General features: G+C 42.0%; 1 annotated feature.

Annotated features, from left to right (window-relative positions):
* Positions 10,928–11,556: a transcriptional cis regulatory region, noted in NCBI's record as "candidate enhancer chr11.1006 targeted for multiplex CRISPR interference". NCBI's record gives its function as "positively regulates ADM gene expression with high confidence in K562 cells {active_cell/tissue: K562}" and the evidence as "EXISTENCE:mutant phenotype evidence [ECO:0000015][PMID:30612741]".

Here is a 21,704-nt window from a genome sequence, read left to right as displayed (position 1 = left end):
AGCCTAGTGAGACACTAGCTGGGGCAGTCAAGGGAGTACTTGTGCCACCCCTCCTTCAAGTTCAGGCAGTGCAGTTTGCAAATCCAAAAGAGACCCCTTCCTTCCACTTGAGGAGAGAGAAGAGTAAAGAAAACTTTGTCTTGCAACTTGGATACCAGCTCAGCCACATTAGGAAAGGGCGCCGGGTAGAGTTGTGAGGCCCCCATTCTAGAACCTAGTCCTAGATGACATTTCTAGACACAACCTGGGCCAGAAGGGAACCTGCTGCCTTGAAGGGAAGGACCCAGTCCTGGCAAGATTTATCACCTGCTAATTAAAGAACCCTATATAAGCAGCAGTGGTAACCAAGTAGTACATGCTGTGAGCCTTCAGTGAGACTGAGATGTGCCAGCTTCAGGTGTGACCCATCACATTCACAGCCAGTGCTGTGCTGGCTTCAGATCTGACTCAGCACAGGAGCAGGGGTGGTGGCCACAGGGGTGCTTGTTTAACCTCTCCCCCATCTCCAGGCAGCTCAGCACAGAGAGAGAGAGAGATGCTCTTTGTTTGGGAGAAAGTATGGGGCCAGGTGCAGTGGCTCATTCCTGTAATCTCAGCATTTTGGGAGGCTGAGGCAGGTGGATCACTTAAGGCCAGGAGTTCAAGACCAGCCTGGGCAACATAGCAAAAACCTGTCTCTACTAAAAATACAAAAATTAGCTAGGCATGGTGGCACATGCCTATAATTCCAGCTACTCAGGTGCCTGAGGCATGAGAATTGCTTGACCCCAGGAGGTGGAGGTGGCAGTGAGCCAAGATTGCACCACTGCACTCCACCCTGGGTGACAGAATGAGACCCTGAGAAAGAAAGAAAGATAGAAAGAAAGAGAGAGAGAGAGAGAAGGAAGGAAGGAAAGAAGGAAGGAAGGAAGAAAAAAAAGAAAAGAAAAGAAGGAATATATTGTATGAGAAAAGAATAAGAGTCTCTGCCTGATACTCCAGAGACTTCTTCCAGGCCTTATCCAAGGTAACCAAGGTGGTACCTCTATGAGCCTGCAAGAACCATGGCGTTACTGGGTTACATTGTGGGTTACCCACCAATGGCCCACTAATGACCAAAAGCTTAAATCACAACACTGAAGTCTCTTCAAATACCTGGAAAGCCTTCCAAAAAGGACAGGTACAAACAAGCCCAGATTGTGAAGGATGCAATAAATACCTAGCTCTTCAATGCCCAGACACTGATAAACATCCGCAAGCATCAAGACCATCCAGGGAAATAGACACCAGGGATTAATCCCAGAGAGAGAGAGAGAAATTTGACCTTTCAGACACAGAATTCAAAATAGCTGTCTTGAAGAAACTCAAAGAAATTCAAGATAACACAGAGAAGGAATTCAGAATCCATTAGATAAATTTAACAAAGAAATAGAAATAATTAAAAAGAATTAAGCAGAAATCCTAGAGTTGAAAAATGCAATTGACATACTGAAGAACTCATCAGAGTCTTTTAATAGCAGAATTGGTCAAGCAGAAGAGTTAGTGAACTTGGGCTGTTTGAAAATACAAAGTCAGAGGAGACAAAAGAAAAAAGAAAAAAAAGAATGAAGCATGCCTACAAGATCTAGAAAACAGCCTCAAAAGGGCAAATTCTAAGAGTTATTGGCTTTAAAGAGGAGGTAGAGAGAGAGGTGGGGTTCATTCAAAGGAATAATAATAGATAACTTTCCAAACCTAGAGAAAGATATCAATATTCAAGGATAAGAAGGTTATGGAACACCAAGCAGGTTTAACCCAAAGAAGACTACTTCAAGGCATTTAATATTCAGACTCCCAAAGGTCAAGGATAAAGAAAGGATTCTAAAACCAGCAAGAGAAAAGAAACAAATAACATACAATGGAGCTCCAATAGGTCTGGCAGCAGACTTCTCGATGGAAACCTTACAGGTCAGGAGAGAGTGGCATGACAATATTTAAAATGCTGAAGGAAAAAAAAACTTTTACCCTAGAATAGTATTACTATATCTGATGAAAATATCCTTCAAACGTGAAGGAGAAGTAAAGACTTTCCTGGACAAGCAAAAGCTGAAGGATTTCATCAACACAAGATCTATCCTACAAGAAATGCTAAAAAGAGTTCTTCAATCTGAAAGAAAATGATGTTAATGAGCAACAAGAAATCATCTGGGCCAAGGTGGGAGAATTGCTTGAACCCAAGAGTTTGAGGTCAGCCTGGGCAATGCAGTGAGACTCCACCTCTACAAAAAAAAAAATTGTTTTAATTGGCTGGGCATAGAGGCTCATGCCTGTGATCCCAGCACTTTGGGAGGCTGAGGCAGGAGGATCGCTTGAGCCTGGGAGGCTACAGTGAGCTATAATCAAGCAACTGGACTGTAGCCTGGGTGACAAAGTGAGACCTTGTCAAAAAAAATTAAAAAAAAAAAAATCATCTGAAGGTACAAAACTTACTGGTAATAATAAGTACTACACAGAAAAACACAGACTATTCTAACACTGTCATTGTGGTATGTAAACTACTCATATTTTAAGTAGAAAAACAAAAAGACGAACCAATCAAAAATAATAATTACAGGCTGGGTGCAGTGGCTCACACTTGTAATCCTAGCACTTTGGGAGTCCGAGGTGGGCGGATCACGAGGTCAGGAGATGGAGACTAACCTGGTTAACACGGTGAAACCCCATCTCTACTAAAAATACAAAAATTAGCTGGGCATGGTGGCACATGCCTATAATCCCAGCTACTCGGGAGCCTGAGGCAGGAGAATCACTTGAACCCAGGAGGCAGAGTTTGCAGCGAGCTGAGATCGTGCCACTGCACTTCAGCCTGGGCAACAGAGCAAGACTCCATCTCAAAATAATAATAATAATAATAATAATAATAATAATAATAATTACAACAACTTTTCAAGACATAGTACAATAAGATAGAAACAACAAAAAATTAAAATGTGGGGAGACAAAGTTAAAGTTTGTATTAGTTTTTATTAGTTTCCTTTTTGTTTATTAGTTAGTTTACACAATTAGTGTTACATTGTCATCAGTTTAAAATAATGGGTTATAAGATATTATTTGCAAGCCTCATGGTAACCTCAAATCTAAAAATATACAATGGATACACAAAAAATAAAAAACAAGAAATTAAAACATACCACCAGAGAAAATCACCTTCACTAAAAGGAAGACAGGAAGGAAGGAAAGAAGGAAGAGAAGACCAAAAACAACCAGAAGACAAATAACAAAATGGCAGGAGTAAGTCCTTACTTATCAATAATAACATTGAATGTAAATGGACTAAGCTCTCTAATCAAAAGATGCAGAGTGGCTGAATGGATTTTTTTTAAAAAAGACTCAATGATCTGTTGCCTACAAGAAACACACTTCACCTATAAAGACACACATAAACTGAAAATAAAGGGATGGAAAAAGATGCTTTATGCAGATGGAAACTAAAAAAAGAGCAGAAGTAGCTGTGCTTATAACAGACAAAACAGATTTCAAGACAAAATCAAGGCTGGGTGTGGTGGCTCACACCTGTAATCCCAGCACTTTGGGAGGCCGAGGCGGGCAGATCACCTGAGGTCAGGAGTTCGAGACCAGCCTGGCCAACATAGTGAAACCCCATCTCTACTAAAAATACAAAAATTAGCCTGGCATGGTGGCACACACCTGTAATCCCAGCTACTCAGGAGGCTGAGGCAGGAAAACTGCTTGAACCCAGGAGGTGGAGGTTGCAGTGAGCTGAGATTGCACCACTGCACTCCAACCTGGGTGACAGAGTGAGACTCCGTCTCAAGAAAAAAAGACAAAAACTATAAAAAGAGACAAAGAAGGTCATTACATAATGATAAAGGGGTCAATTCAGCAAGAGAATATAACAATTGTAAATATATATGCACCCAACACTGAAGCACCCAGATATATAAAGCAAATATTATTAGAGATAAAGAGAGAGACAGACTCCACTACAATAATAGCACAAGATTTCAACACCCCACTTTCAGCATTGGACAGATCATCCAGACAGAAAATCAACAAAGAAACATCAGACTTAATCTGCACTATGGATCAAATGGACCTAATAGATATTTATAGGACATTTCACACAATGGTCACAGAATAGACATTCTTCTCCTCAGCACATGGATCATTCCCAAGGACAGATCATATGTGAGGCCACAAAACAAGTCTTAAAGCATAAAAAAAAAAAATAATATCAAGGATCTTCTCTGACCACAATGAAATAAAACTAGAAATCAATAACGAGGAATTTTAGAAACTATACAAACACATGAAAATTAAACAATATGCTCCTGAATAACCAGTGGGTGAACTAAGAAATTAATAAGAAAATTTAAAAATTTCTTGAAACAATAATGGAAACACAACATATCAAAACCTGTGGGATACAGTGAAAGCAGTACTAAGAGGGAAGTTTATGGCTATAAGTGCCTACATCAAAAAAGATAAAAAGTCTGGGTGTAGTCGCTCATGCCTGTAACTCCAGCACTTTGGGAGGCCAAGCTGAGCAGATTGTTTGAGCTCAGGAGTTTGAGACCAGCCTGGGCAACATGGCAAAACCCCATCTCTACTAAAAATACCAAAAAAATTAGCCAGGCACGGTGGCACATGTCTATAGTCCCAGCTACTTGGGCGGCTGAGGCATGCGAATTGCTTGGACCTGGGAGGCGGAGGTTGCAGTGAGCCAAGATTGGCCACTGCGCTCCGGCCTGGGTGACTGAGTGAGACTCTGTCTCAAACAAACAAATGAACAAACATACAAACTTCAGGTAAACAACCTAATGGTGTCTCTTAAAGAACTAGAAAAGCAAGCACAAACCAAACCCAAAGTCAGTAGAAGAAAAGAAATAATAAAGACCAGAGCAGAAATAAATGAAATTGAAACAAATAATACAAAGGATGAAAACAAAAAAATCATTTTTTGAAAAGACAAATAAGGCCGGGCGTGATGGCTCACACCTGTAATCCCAGCACTTTGGGAGGCTGAGGTGGGGGGGATCACAAGGTCAGGAGATCGAAACCACGGTGAAACCCCGTCTCTACTAAAAAATACAAAAAATTAGCTGGGCCTGGTGGTGGGCGCCTGTAGTCCCAGCTACTCGGGAGGCTGAGGCAGGAGAATGGCGTGAACCTGGGAGGCGGGGCTTGCAGTGAGCCAAGATCGTGCCACTGCACTCCAGCCTGGGTGACAGAGCGAGACTCCGTCTCAAAAAAAAAAAGAAAGAAAGAAAAGATAAACAAAATGACAAACCTTTAGCCAGACTAAGAAAAAAAGAGAGAAGACCGAAATAAATAAAATGAGAGGTTTTGAAAAGGGAGACGTTACAACTGATACCAAGAAATTCAAAGGATCTTAGGTACTACTATGAGTAAGTATATGCCAACAAATTGGAAAACCTAGAAAAAAATAGATAAATTTCTAGATACATGAAACCTACTGAGTTGAACCATGAAGAAATTCAAAACTTTAACAGACCAATAGTAAGTAACAATTTCAAAGCCAAAATAAAAAGTCTGCTGGCAAAGAATAGCCTGGGGCTCAATAGTTTCACTGATGAATTTTACCAAACATTTAAATAACTAATACCAATCCTACTCAAACTATTCAAAAAAATTGAGGAGGAGGGAATACTTTCAAACTCATTCCATGAGGCCATTATTACCCTGATAGCAAAACCAGACAAAGACACATCAAAAAAAAAAAAAAAAAAGAAAGAAAGAAAAGAAAAAAGAAAGAAAACAACAGGCCAATATCCCTGATGAACATTGATGCAAAAATCCTCAACCAAATACTATTAGGTTGCTGCAAAAGTAATTGCGGTTTCAGACTGTAAATTTTAAATCATTATAACTAGGCTCAAACACATCTTTATTAATCAAAACAGGAAACATTACAATCAACACATTTTTGCCAGTGAGAAATCTTTATTCCTATGGTGTAAAAATCCATGCTTCAGGATTCAACAAACTCTTGGAAATCATTTTCTGCATCCTGCTGGTTGTGGAAGCGTTTTCCGTACAAAAAGTTGTTGAGATGCTTGTAGAAGTGGTAGTCAGTTGGTGAGAGGTCAGGTGAGTATGGCAGATGAGGCAAAACTTCATAGCCCAATTTGCTCAACTTTTGAAGCGTTGGTTGTGTGACGTGTGTTTGGGTGTTGTCCTGGAGAAGAATTGGGCCCTTTCTGTTGACCAATGCTGGCTGCAGTTGTTGCAGTTTTTGGTGCATCTCGTCCGTTTGCTGAGCATAGTTCTCAGATGTAATGGTTTTGCCAGGATTCAGAAAGCTATACTGGATCAGACCAGCAGCAGACCACCAAACAGTGGCCATGACCTTTTTTGGTGCAAGTTTGGCTTTGGGAAGTGCTTCGGAGCTTCTTCTCAGTCCAACCACTAAGCTGGTCGTCACCAGTTGTTGTATAAAATCCACTTTTTGTCACATGTCACAATCCGATCAAGAAATGGTTCACTGTTATTGCATAGAATAAGAGAAAACAACACTTCAAGACAACATTTTTTAAAATTTTTGCTCAGCTCATGAAGCACCCACTTATCAAGACACCTTTTTTTCACCTTTTTTTCCCACCTTTTTCACCTTTTCAATTTGCTTCAAATGCCACATGACCATAGAATGGTCGAGGTGGAGTTCTTTGGCAATTTCTCATGTAGTTGTAAGAGGATCAGCTTTGATGATTGCTGTCAATTGGTCATTGTCAACTTCTGATGGCTGGCCATACACTCCTCATCTTCAAGGCTCTTGTCTCCTTTGCAAAACTTCTTGAACCACCACTGTACTGTACATTCATTAGCAGTTCCTGGGCCAAATGCCTTATTGATGTTATGAGTTTTCTTGCTGCTTTATGACCCATTTTGAACCCAAATAAGAAAATTGCTCTAATTTGCTTTTTGTCTAACATAATTTCCGTAGTCTAAAATAAACATAAAATAAACAACAAATAATAAGTCATTAGCAAGAAAACATAAAGCGAGAAATGTCCATTAAAATGATGTATGACCTAACCACATTTATTGAAGAATGTATTCCAACATCAAACGGCAAATTCCAACAATGCAAAAACTGCAATAGTTTTGCACTCACCTTAATAGCAAACTGAATTCAACAACACATTAAAAAGATGATTCATCATGACCAAGTGAGATTTATCCCAGGGATGCAAGGACGCAAGGATGCAAGGATGTCATATGCAAATCAATCAATGCAATACATCATATCTACAGAATGAGGGACAAAACTATACTATCATTTCAATTCACACTGAAAAAGCATTTGATAAAATTCAACATCCCTTCATTATAAAAACCCTAAAAAAACCTGGGTGTAGAAGGAACATGTTTTGGCCGGGCGCGGTGGCTCACACCTGAAATCCCAGCACTTTGGGAGGCCAAGGTAGGTGGATCACTTGAGGTCAGGAATTCGAGACCGGCCTGACCAACATGGTGAAACCCCATCTCTACTAAAAATACAAAAAAATTAGCCAAGCATGGTGGCGCACACCTGTGATCCCAGCTACTCAGGAGGCTGAGGCAGGAGAATCACTTGAACCCAGGAGGCGGAGGTTGCAGTGAGCCGAGATTGCACCATTGCACTCCAGCCTCGGTGACAAGAGTGAAACTCTGTCTGGAAAAAAAAAAAAATAAGAACATACTTCAACATAGCCCTACATGACAGACCCACAGCTAGTGTCATACTCAATGGTGAAAAACTGAAAGTCTTTCTTCTAAGATCTAGAGCATGACAAGGATGCCCACTTTCATCACTGTTATGCAACATGGTACTGGAAGTCCCAGCTAGAGCAATCAGACAAGAAAGAGAAAGAAAGGGCATCCAAATTGGAAAGGAAGAAATCAAATTATCCTTGTTTGCAGATGATATGATCTTATATTTAGAAAAACCTAAAGACACCACTAAAAAATTATTAGAACAGATATACAAATTCAGTAAACTTGCAGGAAATAAAACAATATACAAAAGTCAACATGCAAAATCAACATATATCAGTACACACAGCTATTATTGGGTTAAAAAAAAAGAGAACATAACATATAAAAATCATTTCTAGGCCAGGCATGGTGGCTCAAGCCTGTAATCCCAGCACTTTGGGAGGCAGAGGCGGGTGGATCACAAGGTCAGGCGTTCAAGACCAGCCTGGCCAACATGGTGAAACCCTGTGTCTACTAAATATACAAAAATTGTCCAAGCATGGTGGTGCGCACCTATAGTCCCAGCTACTCAGGAGGCCGAGGCAAGAGAATCACTTGAACCTGGGAGGCAGAGATTGCGGTCAGCTGAGATCGCACCACTGCACTCCAGCCTAGGCAACAGAGTAAGACTTCATCCTCCCCCAAAAAAATAAAAAATAAAAAATAAATTAAAATAAATTTTAAAATCGGCCTGTAATCCCAGCACTTTCAGAGGCTGAGGTGGGCAGATCACGAGGTCAGGAGATCAAGACCATCCTGGCCAATGTGGTGAAACCCCCATCTCTACTAAAAGTACAAAAATTAGCTGGGGATGGCGGTGTGTGCCTGTAATCCCAGCTACTTGGGAGGCTGAGGCAGGAAAATTGCTTGAACCCGGGAGGCGGAGGTTACAGTGAGCTGAGATCACGCCACTGCACTCCAGCCTGGTGACAGAGCTAGACTCCGTCTCAAAAAATAACTAACTAAAAATTAAAATTAAAAATTAAAAAATAATAAAAAATGTTTCTATATGCCAACAGTAAACAATGTGAAAAATCATAAAAGTAATCCCATTTACAATAGCTACAAATAAAATAACATACCTAGGAATTAATTTAACCAAAGAAGTGGAAGATTTCTACAATGAAAACTATAAAACATTATTGAAAGAAATTGAAGAGGACATTAAAAAAGGAAAAATAGTCCATGTTCATGGATTGGAAGAATCCATATTGTTAAAATGTCCATACTATCCAAAGTAATCTATGTATTCAATACAATACCTATCAAAATACTAAAGACATTCTCCACAGAAAGAGAAAACACAATCCTAAAATTTATATGGAACTGCAAAAGATCCAAAATAGCCAAAGCTATCCTGAGAAAAAAAACAAAAACAAAAACAAAAAAACTGGAGGAATCACATTACCTGACTTCAAATTATACTACAGAACTGTGGTAACCAAAACAGCATAGTACAGGCATAAAAGCAGACACATGGACTAATGGAACAGAATAGAGAACCCAGAAACAAATCCATACATCTAAGGTGAACTCATTTCTCAACAAAGGGGCCAAGAGCATACAATGGAGAAAAGACAGCGTCTTCAACAAATGGTGCTGAGAAAACTGGATATCCATATGCAGAAGAATGAAACTAGACCCCTGTCTTTCACTATATACAAAACTCAAATCAAAATGGATTAACGACTTAAATCTCAGACCTCAAACTATGAAACTACTAAAGAATATATTGAGGAAACGCTCCAGGACATTAGACTGGGCAAAGGTTTCTTGAATAATGCCCCACAAGCACAGGCAACCAAAGCAAAAATGGACAAATGAGATCACATCAAGTTTAAAAGCTTCTGCACAGCAAAGGAAACAGCAAAGTGAAGAGACAACCCACAGCATAGGAGAAAATATTTGCAAACTATCCTTCTGACAAGGAATTAATAACCAGAATATATAAGGAGCTCAAACAACTCTATAGGAAAAAATCTAATAATCTAATTTTATTTATTTATTTATTTATTTATTGAGATGGAGTCTCGATGTCGCCCAGGCTGGAGTGCAGTGGTGCCATCTCAGCTCACTGCAAGCTCTGCCTCCCGGGTTCATGCCATTCTCCTGCCTCAGCCTCTTGAGTAGCTGGGACTACAGGCGCCCGCCACCATGCCCGGCTAATTTTTTTGTATTTTTAGTAGAGACAGGGTTTCACCGTGTTAGCCAGAATGGTCTTGATCTCCTGACCTCGTGATCTGCCTGCCTCGGCCTCCCAAAGTGCTGGGATTACAGGTGTGAGCCACCGTGCCCGGCCTCATTTATTTATTATTATTTATTTTGAGATGAAGTCTTGCTCTGTAGCCCAGGCTGAAGTGCAGTGGTGCAATCTCGGCTCACTGCAACCTCCCCCTCCTGGGTTCAATCAATTCTCCTGCCTCAGCTTCCCAAGTACCTGGGATTACAAGCATGCACCACCATGCCCAGCTAACTTTTTGTGTAGAGACAGGGTTTCACCATGTTGGTCAGGCTGGTCTCGAACTCCTGACCTCAGGTGATCCACCCGCCTCGGCCTCCCAAAGTCCTGAGATTACAGGCATGAGCCACTGTGCCTGATCTGTATGTCTCCTTTTGATAAATGTCTATTCAGATCTTTTGCCCATTTTAAAACTGGATTGGCCGGGCACAGTGGCTCACCAAATATCTGAATAGACATTTATCAAAAGGAGACATACAGGTCAGGCGCAGTGGCTCATGCCTGTAATCCCAGGACTTTGGGAGGCCGAGGGGGGAGGATCACCTGATGTCAGGAGTTTGAGACCAGCCTGACCAACATGGTGAAACCCCGTCTTTATTGAAAATACAAAAATTAACTAGGCATGGTGGTGCATGCCTGTAATCCCAGCTACTTGGGAGGCTGAGGTAGAAGAATTGCTTGAACCTGAGAGGCAGAGTTTGCAGTGAGCCAAGATCGTGCCACTGCACTCCAGCCTGAGTGACAGAGCAAGACTCCATCTCTAAAAAAAAAAAAACTAAAAGAGTATAATTGGATTATTTATAACACAAAGGATAAATGCTTGAGGGGATGGATGCCTCATTTCCCCTGATGTGATTATTACACATTGTATGGCTGTATCAAAATATCCCATATGCCCCATAAACATATATACCTACTACATACCCTCGAAAATTAAAAATAAATTTTTATAAGTAAATTTTAAAAACTGTCAAAAAATCTGACTTCTAAGAGTTGTTGCATGGATTGAATGAGAGAACAATAAGTCAAAGTGCTTAGGTGCCTACTAAAGAGAGAGCCAGGAGGAAGGCCTTGTCATCTCTGAAACAGGATAGGGCAGACAGAATTACGACATGAGTCCTGAAGAGCCATCCCCTTGCCTTTTCTGATATACTTAGAGCTCTCCTCTCTTTCAAGCCACATATGCCTGACCCTTCCTCATTTCCTCACGTGGCTTTGTCCCTCCTCTAGCTTTGCTCTTGGGAAAGGAGCCTGTGCTTCTGTTTTTTAATCTGGTTTCTTCATCTGGAATGACCTTCCCGCCACCGTCAGACAAACAGCTTTCTGCTCTGCCTGCAGTCCGTGGAGAGGTGCTGATAAGGAAGAGGGCTTCCTGGATCCCTCTGGTTCATTGTAGCCTCACTTCAATGTGGTGCAGTGCAATGTCAAGAGCAGCGTTAAAGGCTCTGTTGTGTCTCCTCCACCAACCCCATTCTAGCCTCAGAACATTAGGATTGCTCACACACACTCTGGCTGATGTTGACTGCCATCGCCTGCCTTCCATTTAAGGTTTTTGTTTTGTTTTGTTTTTCTGAGACAAGGTTTTGCTCTGTCCCCTAGGCTGGAGTGCAGTGGCACGATCTTGGCTCACTGCAGCCTCCACCTCCCAGGTTCAAGTGATTCTCATGCCTCGGCCTCCCACGTAGCTGGGATTACAGGCACAGCCACCACGCCCAGCTAATTTTTGTATTTTTAGTAGAGATGGGGTTTCACCATGTTGGCCAGGCTGGCCTCGAACTCCTGGCCTCAAGTGATCTGCCCACCTCGGCCTCCCAAAGTGCTGGGATTACAGGCGTGAGCCACTGCACCCAGCCCCATTTAAGGTTTTTGAGGGATCCAAGCTGTAACTGTTTCTGCCCATCCCATCCCCACTCTCAGCCTCCACTACCAAGCTCTGCTGACTTTCAGGGTCCTGTGTGCTTGAAACCAATTGTTAGAAACAATTGGCTCTGTCAGTATGCTTGTCAGCCAATTGTTAGAAACAACACAGCACAGAAAAATAACCATTATAAAATAAGTGCAAATAAAAGAAATATAGAAAGAATATTCTGTGCTCTTGTATTTATTTATTTATTTATTTATTTATTTATTTATTTTGAGACAGAGTCTCCCTCTGTCGCCCAGGCTGGAGTGCAGTGGCGTGATCTCGGCTCACTGCAACCTCTGCCTCCCGGGTTCACGCCATTCTCCTGCCTCAGCCTCCCGAGTGGCAGGGACTACAGGCACCCGCCACCATGCCCGGCTAATTTTTTATATTTTTTAGTAGAGACAGGGTTTCACCGTGTTAGCCAGGATGGTCTCGATCTCCTGACCTCGTGATCCGCCCGCCTCGGCCTCCCAAAGTGCTGGGATTACAGGCGTGAGCCACCACGCTCGGCCTCTCTTGTATTAGTTCTAACAACTATTCATTTGATCATTTTGGATTTCTAGGCCGACAATCAGGTAATTGATAATAATGCTCTCATCCACTTTAGTATTTTGACTTTTATTCCATTGTCTAATTGCATTAACTAGCACTTCCAGAACAACATTAAATAACAGAGGTGGTGAGAATCCTTGTCTAGCTCCTGACTTTAATGGGGATATTAATAATAATATTGATTGGGCCGGGCGCAGTGGCTCACACCTGTAATCCCAGCACTTTGGGAGGCTGAGGCGGGTGGATCACCTGAGGTCAGAAGTTCGAGAACAACCTGGCCAACATGGTGAAACCCCCATCTCTATAAAAATACAAAAATTAGCCAGGCGTGGTGGCGGGCACCTGTAATTCCAGCTACTGGGGAGGCTGAGTGGGGAGAATCACTTGAACCCGGGAGGCGGAGGTTGCAGTGAGCTGACATCACACCATTGTACTCCAGCCTGGGCGACAGAGACTTCCTCTCAAAAAAAAAAAGGGAGGGAATTAGGGCCTTGCGTTGGCCTAAGGGAATGTTGTGGCCGGTTTGATCTATCCAGACCATTCAAACATCCTCCATATCAGCAATAAGGCTGTTCTGCTTTCTTATCTCATTTGTGTATTCACTGGAGTAGCACTTTTAATCTCCTTCAAAAGCTTTTCCCTTGCATTTACAACTTAGCTAACTAACTTTCAGCCTGTCCCAGCTTTCGACATGACTTCCTAACTAAGCTTAATTATTTCTAGCTTTTGAGAATGAGAGATGTGTGACTCTTTCTTTCATTTGAACACTTAGAAGCCACTGTAGGGTTCCAGCTGGCCTAATTTTAGTATTTTTGTGTCTCAGGAAATGAGGAGGTTGCAGTAGAGGGAGAGAGACAGAGGAACACCCAGTCCATGCAGTAGTCAGAACACACACAACATTTATAGATTAAATTCACCATCTTGTATGGGCACGGTTTGTGGCACCCTGAAACAGTTACAGTTGTAACATCAAAGATCAGAGATCAACATAATAGACATAATAATAATAAAAAAGTTTGAAATATTGCAAAAATTACTAAAATATGACAAAGAAACACGAAATGAGCATATGCTGTTGGGAAAATGGCCTGACAGACTTGCTAAATATAGGGTTGCCACAAACCTTCAATTTGTAAAAATGCAGTATTTGGCTAGGCACAATGGCTCATGCCTGTAATCCCAGCATTTTGGGAAGCTGAGGCAGGTGGATCACTTGAGGCCAAGAGTTCGAGATCAGCCTGGGCAACATGGCAAAAAACCGTATCTACTAAAAATACAAAAAATGAGTGGGATGTGGTGGTACACACCTGTAATCTCAGCTACTCAGGAGGCTGAGGCAGAAGAATCACTTGAACCTGGGAAGTGGAGGCTGCAGTGAGCCAAGATCACTCCACTGCACTCCAGCCTGAGCAACAGAGCGAGACTCTGTCTCAAAAAATAAAAAAATAAAATAAAGAAGACGTCCAAGCACAGGGCGCCCCATTTTATAACAAAATCAGTCCCTGCTTATCTGTGGTTTCAGTTTCTGCAGTTTCAGTTACCTGCGGTCTGAAAAATAAAATATTTTTTTAAACGAAGTATCTGCAAAGCCTAATGAAGCAGAGCAATAAAATGAGATGTGCCTGAGTTTTACATTTTGTTTTTCCTTTTTAATGTTTTTAATTTTAATTTTTTGATTGTTTTAATTTAAAAAAATGTTTTTTGAGACACAGTCTTGCTCTGTTGCCCAGGTTGGAGTGCAGGGCACCATCTTAGCTCACTGCAACCTTCACCTCCCAGGCTCAAGCGATTCTCCTGCCTCAGTCTCCCCAGTAGCTGGGATTACAGGCATGCGCCACCAGACCTGGCTAATTTTTGTATTTTTAGTAGAGACGGGGTTTCACCATGTTGGCCAGGCTGATCTCAAGCTCCTGACCTCAGGTGATCCGCCTGCCTCAGCCTCCCAAAGTGCTAGGATTACAGGCATGAGCCACTGTGCCCAGCCTTAATTTTTAATTATACTTTTCTATTTCATAATCTAGTCCCAAGATGTGCCTGTGTTTTTTAAGGTGTTCTAAATCTACATTTATAAATGAGACTGGTCCATAGTTTTCCTGCTGTATGATGTAAAATTTTGGCTTTATGGAACACTGAGATGTTTATCTATCCTTTGGAATATGAGTATGATTGATTACCTGAATATTTGAAAGAAGTTGCTCATTAACCTATCTAGTTTTAGCTTAGGTCCTTAAGTATATCTTTTGACAGCTTTTATCCATCATTATTTATCTGTTTAGATTTTTGAGTCCCAATTGGTAATTTTATATTTCCTCAAATATTATCTATTTCATTCAGATTTTATATTGTATTAGTATTGGGTTGGGCAAGGTATTCCCTTGTAATTCTCATTTCCTCTGTACTGATGGCTATAAACCCTTTTTCATTCCTGATGTGTATATTTATGTCATTTCTTTTTTAGTTTGTTTTGTTAGCTAGTGGTTTATCAAATTTGTTGCTTGCTTCTTGCCAAATAACCAGATCTTAGAGTTATTCATCAACTATATTGTCTTAATTTTTTTTTTTTTTTTTGAGACGGAATTTCCCTCGTCACCTAGGCTGGAGTGCAGTGGCGCAATCTCGGCTCACTGCAACCTCCGCCTCCCGGGTTCAAGTGATTCTCCTGCCTCAGCCTCCCAAGTAGCTGGGATTACAGGTGCCTGCCACCATGCCTGGCTAATTTTTGTATTTTTAGTAGAGACAGGGTTTTACCATGTTGGCCAGACTGGTCTCAAACTCCTGACCTCGTGATCCGCCCACCTCGGCCTCCCAAAGTGCTGGGATTACAGGCGTGAGCCACCGTGCCCGGCCCCCAAAATTTTTTTTTAGAGACAGAGTCTTTCCCTGTCATCCAGGCTGGAGCGCAGTGGTGTGATCATAGCTGACTATAATCTCCAGTTCCTGGGCTCAAGTAACCCTCCTGCCTCAGCCTCTGAGCAGCTAGAACTACAGGCATGCACCACCATGCCGGGCTAATTTTGTTGTTGTTGTAGAGACAAGGTCTTGCTGTGTTACCTGGGCCAGTCTTGAACTCCTGGCCTCAAATGATCCTCCTCCCTTGGCCTCCCAAAGCACTGGGATTACAGGCATGAGCCACCACACCGGGCCAATTATATTGTTTTTCTGGTTTTGAAATAATTCAGTTTGCTTTTATCCTTAATTTTTTCCTTTTGCTTTCTTTAGATTTTACCTTACTGTGACATTTTCCCCTTTTAATTTCCTGCATTGTCTACTTTGTTAATGAACTTTTATTCTCACTAAGCAATAACAGTGTTTACAGCCATGCATTTTCTTGTGAATACTACTTTGGCTGCATTTCATAAGTAGTGTTTCATGAGTTATTTTTAAAATAGCCTATAGTTCTGTTTTTAAGCTTTGTATTGAAGTATGATACACATACAGAAAAGCAAACATATCAAAATATGTTCAGTTTGGTGAATATTCACAAATTCAACACCCAGACTGAGAAACAGAACATTGCCAGTACCAATGACATAATTTGCAGGACCTAGTGCAAAATGAAAATGCTCAGCCCTTTGGTCAAATATCATTAACGACTTTGGCTGGGTGCAGTGGCTCACGCCTGTAATCCCAGAACTTTGGGAGGCCGAGGCGGGTGGATCACCTGAGGTCAGGAGTTCAAGACCAGCCTGGCCAACATGGTGAAACCCCATCTCTACTAAAAATACAAAAATTAGCCAGGCATGGTGGCACATGCCTGTAATCCCAGCTACTCGGGAGGCTGAGGCAAGAGAATCGCTTGAACCCGGGAGGTGGAGGTTGCAGTGAGCCAAGATCGCGCCATTGCACTCCAGCCTGGGCAATAGAGTGAGACTCCATCTCAAATAATAATAATAATAATAATTTTGAAATGGTGACAGCAGAGTGTTAGCCAAACGCTGAGCCTAAGTGCAGGGCCTTGTGCGCATGCTCATGAAGCTGGTTGGCCCTGGCAACTCATCCTTGGACTTCCTTCTACTCCCTAACTTGGCCTCCCTACCAAGTGTAACCACTACCTGACTTCAGATGGCAGAGAATTGTTAGTCTGTACCCTTGTGTCTAGTTTCTTTTGCTTAGCATTATGTTTGTGAGGATCATTCATACTTCTATGTGTAATTGAAGAGCATACATTCTCATCGTTGTATAGTTTAAAATAGTCCGGCCAGTTACAGTGGCTCACCCCTGTAATCCCAGCACTTTGGGAGGCTGAGGCAGGCAGACTGCTTAAGGTCAGGAGTTTGAGAGCAGCCTGGCCAACATGATGAAACCCCATCTCTACTAAAAATACAAAACTTAGCCTGGCATGGTGGCACACACATATAGTCTCAGCTAGTTGGGAGGCTGAGACACAAGAATTGCTTGAGCCCGGGAGGCGGACAGTGCAGTGAGCTGAGATCACACCATTGCATGCCACCCTGGGCGACAGGGCAAGACTCCATCTCAAAAAAAAAATAAAAGTCTGTAATTCAGTTTTGGTTTGTCACTGATTAAAGAGTTGTTTAGAACTTAAAAATTTCGGCGGGAGGAGCCAAGATGGCCGAATAGGAACAGCTCCAGTCTACAGCTCCCAGTGTGAGCCACGCAGAAGACGGGTGATTTCTGCATTTCCATCTGAGGTACCGGGTTCATCTCACTAGAGAGTGCCAGACAGTGGGTGCAGGTCAGTGAGTGCGCGCACCGTGTGCGAGCCGAAGCAGGGCGAGGCATTGCCTCACTCGGGAAGCGCAAGGGGTCAGGGAGTTCCCTTTCCTAGTCAAACAAAGTGGTGACAGATGGCACCTGGAAAATCGGGTCACTCCCACCCGAATACTGCGCTTTTCCGACGGGCTTAAAAAACGGCACACCAGGAGATTATATCCCGCACCTGGCTCGGAGGGTCCTAGGCCCACGGAGTCTCGCTGATTGCTAGCACAGCACTCTGAGATCAAACTGCAAGGTGGCAGCGAGGCTGGGGGAGGGGCACCCGCCATTGCCCAGGCTTGCTTAGGTAAACAAAGCAGCCGGGAAGCTCGAATTGGGTGGAGCCCACCACAGCTCAAGGAGGCCTGCCTGCCTCTGTAGGCTCCACCTCTGGGGGCAGGGCACAGACAAACAAAAAGACAGCAGTAACCTCTGCAGACTTAAATGTCTCTGTCTGACAGCTTTGAAGAGAGCAGTGGTTCTCCCAGCATGCAGCTGGAGATCTGAGAACGGGCAGACTGCCTCCTCAAGTGGGTCCCTGACCCCTGACCCCCCAGCAGCCTAACTGGGAGGCACCCCCTAGCAGGGGCAGACTGACACCTCACACGGCCGGGCACTCCAACAGACCTGCAGCTGAGGGTCCTGTCTGTTAGAAGGAAAACTAACAAACAGAAAGGACATCCACACCAACAACCCATCTGTACATCACCATCATCAAAGACCAAAAGTAGATAAAACCACAAAGATGGGGAAAAAACAGAACAGAAAAACTGGAAGCTCTAAAAAGCAGAGCGCCTCTCCTCCTCCAAAGGAATGCAGTTCCTCACCAGCAATGGAACAAAGCTGGACGGAGAATGACTTTGACGAGCTGAGAGAAGAAGGCTTCAGACGATCAAATTACTCTGAGCTACGGGAGGACATTCAAACCAAAGGCAAAGAAGTTGAAAACTTTGAAAAAAATTTAGGAGAATGTATAACTAGAATAATCAATACAGAGAAGTGCTTAAAGGAGCTGATGGAGCTGAAAACCAAGGCTTGAGAACTAAGTGAAGAATGCAGAAGACTCAGGAGCCGATGTGATCAACTGGAAGAAAGGGTATCAGCGATGGAAGATGAAATGTATGAAATGAAGTGAGAAGGGAAGTTTAGAGAAAAAAGAATAAAAAGAAACGAGCAAAGCCTCCAAGAAATATGGGACTATGTGAAAAGACCAAATCTATGTCTGATTGGTGTACCTGAAAGTGATGGGGAGAATGGAACCAAGTTGGAAAACACTCTGTAGGATATTATCCAGGAGAACTTCCCCAGTCTAGCAAGGCAGGCCACCATTCAGATTCAGGAAATACAGAGAATGCCACAAAGATACTCCTTGAGAAGAGCAACACCAAGACACGTAATTGTCAGATTCACCAAAGTTGAAATGAAGGAAAAAATGTTAAGGGCAGCCAGAGAGAAAGGTCGGGTTACCCACAAAACGAAGCCCATCAGACTAACAGCTGATCTCTCAGCAGAAACTCTACAAGCCAGAAGAGAGTGAGGGCCAATATTCAACATTCTTAAAGAAAAGAATTTTCAACCCAGAATTTCATATCCAGCCAAACTAAGCTTCATAAGTGAAGGAGAAATAAAATACTTTACAGACAAGCAAATGCTGAGAGATTTTGTCACCACCAGGCCTGCCCTAAAAGAGCTCCTGAAGGAAGCGCTAAACATGGAAAGGAACAACCGGTACCAGCCACTGCAAAATCATGCCAAAATGTAAAGACCATCGAGACTAGGAAGAAACTGCATCAACTAACGAGCAAAATCACCAGCTAACATCATAATGACAGGATCAAATTCACACATAACAATATTAACTTTAAATGTAAATGGACTAAATGCTCCAATTAAAAGACACAGACTGGCAAATTGGATAAACAGTCAAGACCCATCAGTGTGCTGTATTCAGGAAACCCATCTCACGTGCAGAGACACACATAGGCTCAAAATAAAGGATGGAGGAAGATCTACCAAGCAAATGGAAAACAAAAAAAGGCAGGGGTTGCAATCCTAGTCTCTGATAAAACAGACTTTAAACCAACAAAGATCAAAAGAGACAAAGAAGGCCATTACTTAATGGTAAAGGGATCAATTCAACAAGAAGAGCTAACTATCCTCAATATATATGCACCCAATACAGGAGCACCCAGATTCATAAAGCAAGTCCTGAGTGACCTACAAAGAGACTTAGACTCCCACACATTAATAATGGGAGACTTTAACACCCCACTGTCAACATTAGACAGATCAACCAGACAGAAAGTCAACAAGGATACCCAGGAATTGAACTCAGCTCTGCACCAAGCAGACCTAATAGACTTCTACAGAACTCTCCACCCCAAATCAACAGAATATACATTTTTTTCAGCACCACACCACACCTATTCCAAAATTGACCACATAGTTGGAAGTAAAGCTCCCCTCAGCAAACGTAAAAGAACAGAAATTATAACAAACTATCTCTCAGACCACAGTGCAATCAAACTAGAACTCAGGATTAAGAATCTCACTCAAAACCGCTCAACTACATGGAAACTAAACAACCTGCTCCTGAATGACTACTGGGTACATAACGAAATGAAGGCAGAAATAAAGATGTTCTTTGAAACCAATGAGAACAAAGACACAACATACCAGAATCTCTGGGACACATTCAAAGCAGTGTGTAGAGGGAAATTTATAGCACTAAATGCCCACAAGAGAAAGCAGGAAAGATCCAAAACTGACACCCTAACATCACAATTAAAAGAACTAGAAAAGCAAGAGCAAACACATTCAAAAGCTAGCAGAAGGCAAGAAATAACTAAAATCAGAGCAGAACTGAAGGAAATAGAGACACAAAAAACCCTTCAAAAAATTAACGAATCCAAGAGCTGGTTTTTTGAAAGGATCAACAAAATTGATAGACCACTAGCAAGACTAATAAAGAAAAAAAGAGAGAAGAATCAAATAGACGCAATAAAAAATGATAAAGGGGATATCACCACCGATCCCACAGAAATACAAACTACCATCAGAGAATGCTACAAACATGTCTACGCAAATAAACTAGAAAATCTAGAAGAAATGGATAAATTCCTCGACACATACACCCTCCCAAGACTAAACCAGGAAGAAGTTGAATCTCTGAATAGACCAATAACAGGAGCTGAAATTGTGGCAATAATCAATAGCTTACCAACCAAAAAGAGTCCAGGACCAGATGGATTCACAGCCGAATTCTACCAGAGGTACAAGGAGGAACTGGTACCATTCCTTCTGGAACTATTCCAATCAATAGAAAAAGAGGGAATCCTCCCTAACTCATTTTATGAGGCCAGCATCATCCTGATACCAAAGCTGGGCAGAGACACAACCAAAAAAGAGAATTTTAGACCAATATCCTTGATGAACATTGATGCAAAAATCCTCAATAAAATACTGGCAAACCGAATCCAGCAGCACATGAAAAAGCTTATCCACCATGATCAAGTGGGCTTCATCCCTGGGATGCAAGGCTGGTTCAATATACGCAAATCAATAAATGTAATCCAGCATATAAACAGAACCAAAGACAAAAACCACATGATTATCTCAATAGATGCAGAAAAGGCCTTTGACAAAATTTAACAACACTTCATGCTAAAAACTCTCAATAAATTAGGTATTGATGGGATGTATCTCAAAATAATAAGAGCTATCTATGACAAACCCACAGCCAATATCATACTGAATAGGCAAAAACTGGAAGCATTCCCTTTGAAAACTGGAACAAGACAGGGATGCCCTCTCTCACCACTCCTATTCAACATAGTGTTGGAAGTTCTGGCCAGGGCAATTAGGCAGGAGAAGGAAATAAAGGGTATTCAATTAGGAAAAGAGGAAGTCAAATTGTCCCTGTTTGCAGACGACATGATTGTATATCTAGAAAACCCCATTGTCTCAGCCCAAAATCTCCTTAAGCTGATAAGCAACTTCAGCAAAGTCTCAGGATACAAAATCAATGTACAAAAATCACAAGCATTCTTATACACCAACAACAGACAAACAGAGAGCCAAATCATGAGTGAACTCCCATTCACAATTGCTTCAAAGAGAATAAAATACCTAGGAATCCAACTTACAAGGGATGTGAAGGACCTCTTCAAGGAGAACTACAAACCACTGCTCAATGAAATAAAAGAGGATACAAACAAATGGAAGAACATTCCATGCTCATGGGTAGGAAGAATCAATATCGTGAAAATGGCCATACTGCCCAAGGTAATTTACAGATTCAATGCCATCCCCATTAAGCTACCAATGACTTTCTTCATAGAATTGGAAAAAACTACTTTAAAGTTCATATGGAACCAAAAAAGATCCCGCATCGCCAAGTCAATCCTGAGCCAAAAGAACAAAGCTGGAGGCATCACACTACCTGACTTCAAACTATACTACAAGGCTACAGTAACCAAAACAGCATGGTACTGGTACCAAAACAGAGATATAGATCAATGGAACAGAACAGAGCCCTCAGAAATAATGCCGCAT

This window comes from Homo sapiens, chromosome 11 (genome assembly GCF_000001405.40).
Source record: "Homo sapiens chromosome 11, GRCh38.p14 Primary Assembly".
NCBI lineage: Eukaryota > Metazoa > Chordata > Mammalia > Primates > Hominidae > Homo > Homo sapiens.
The sequence above is the reverse complement of the archived record's forward strand: the minus strand, read 5'-3'. Positions and strand labels throughout refer to the sequence as shown.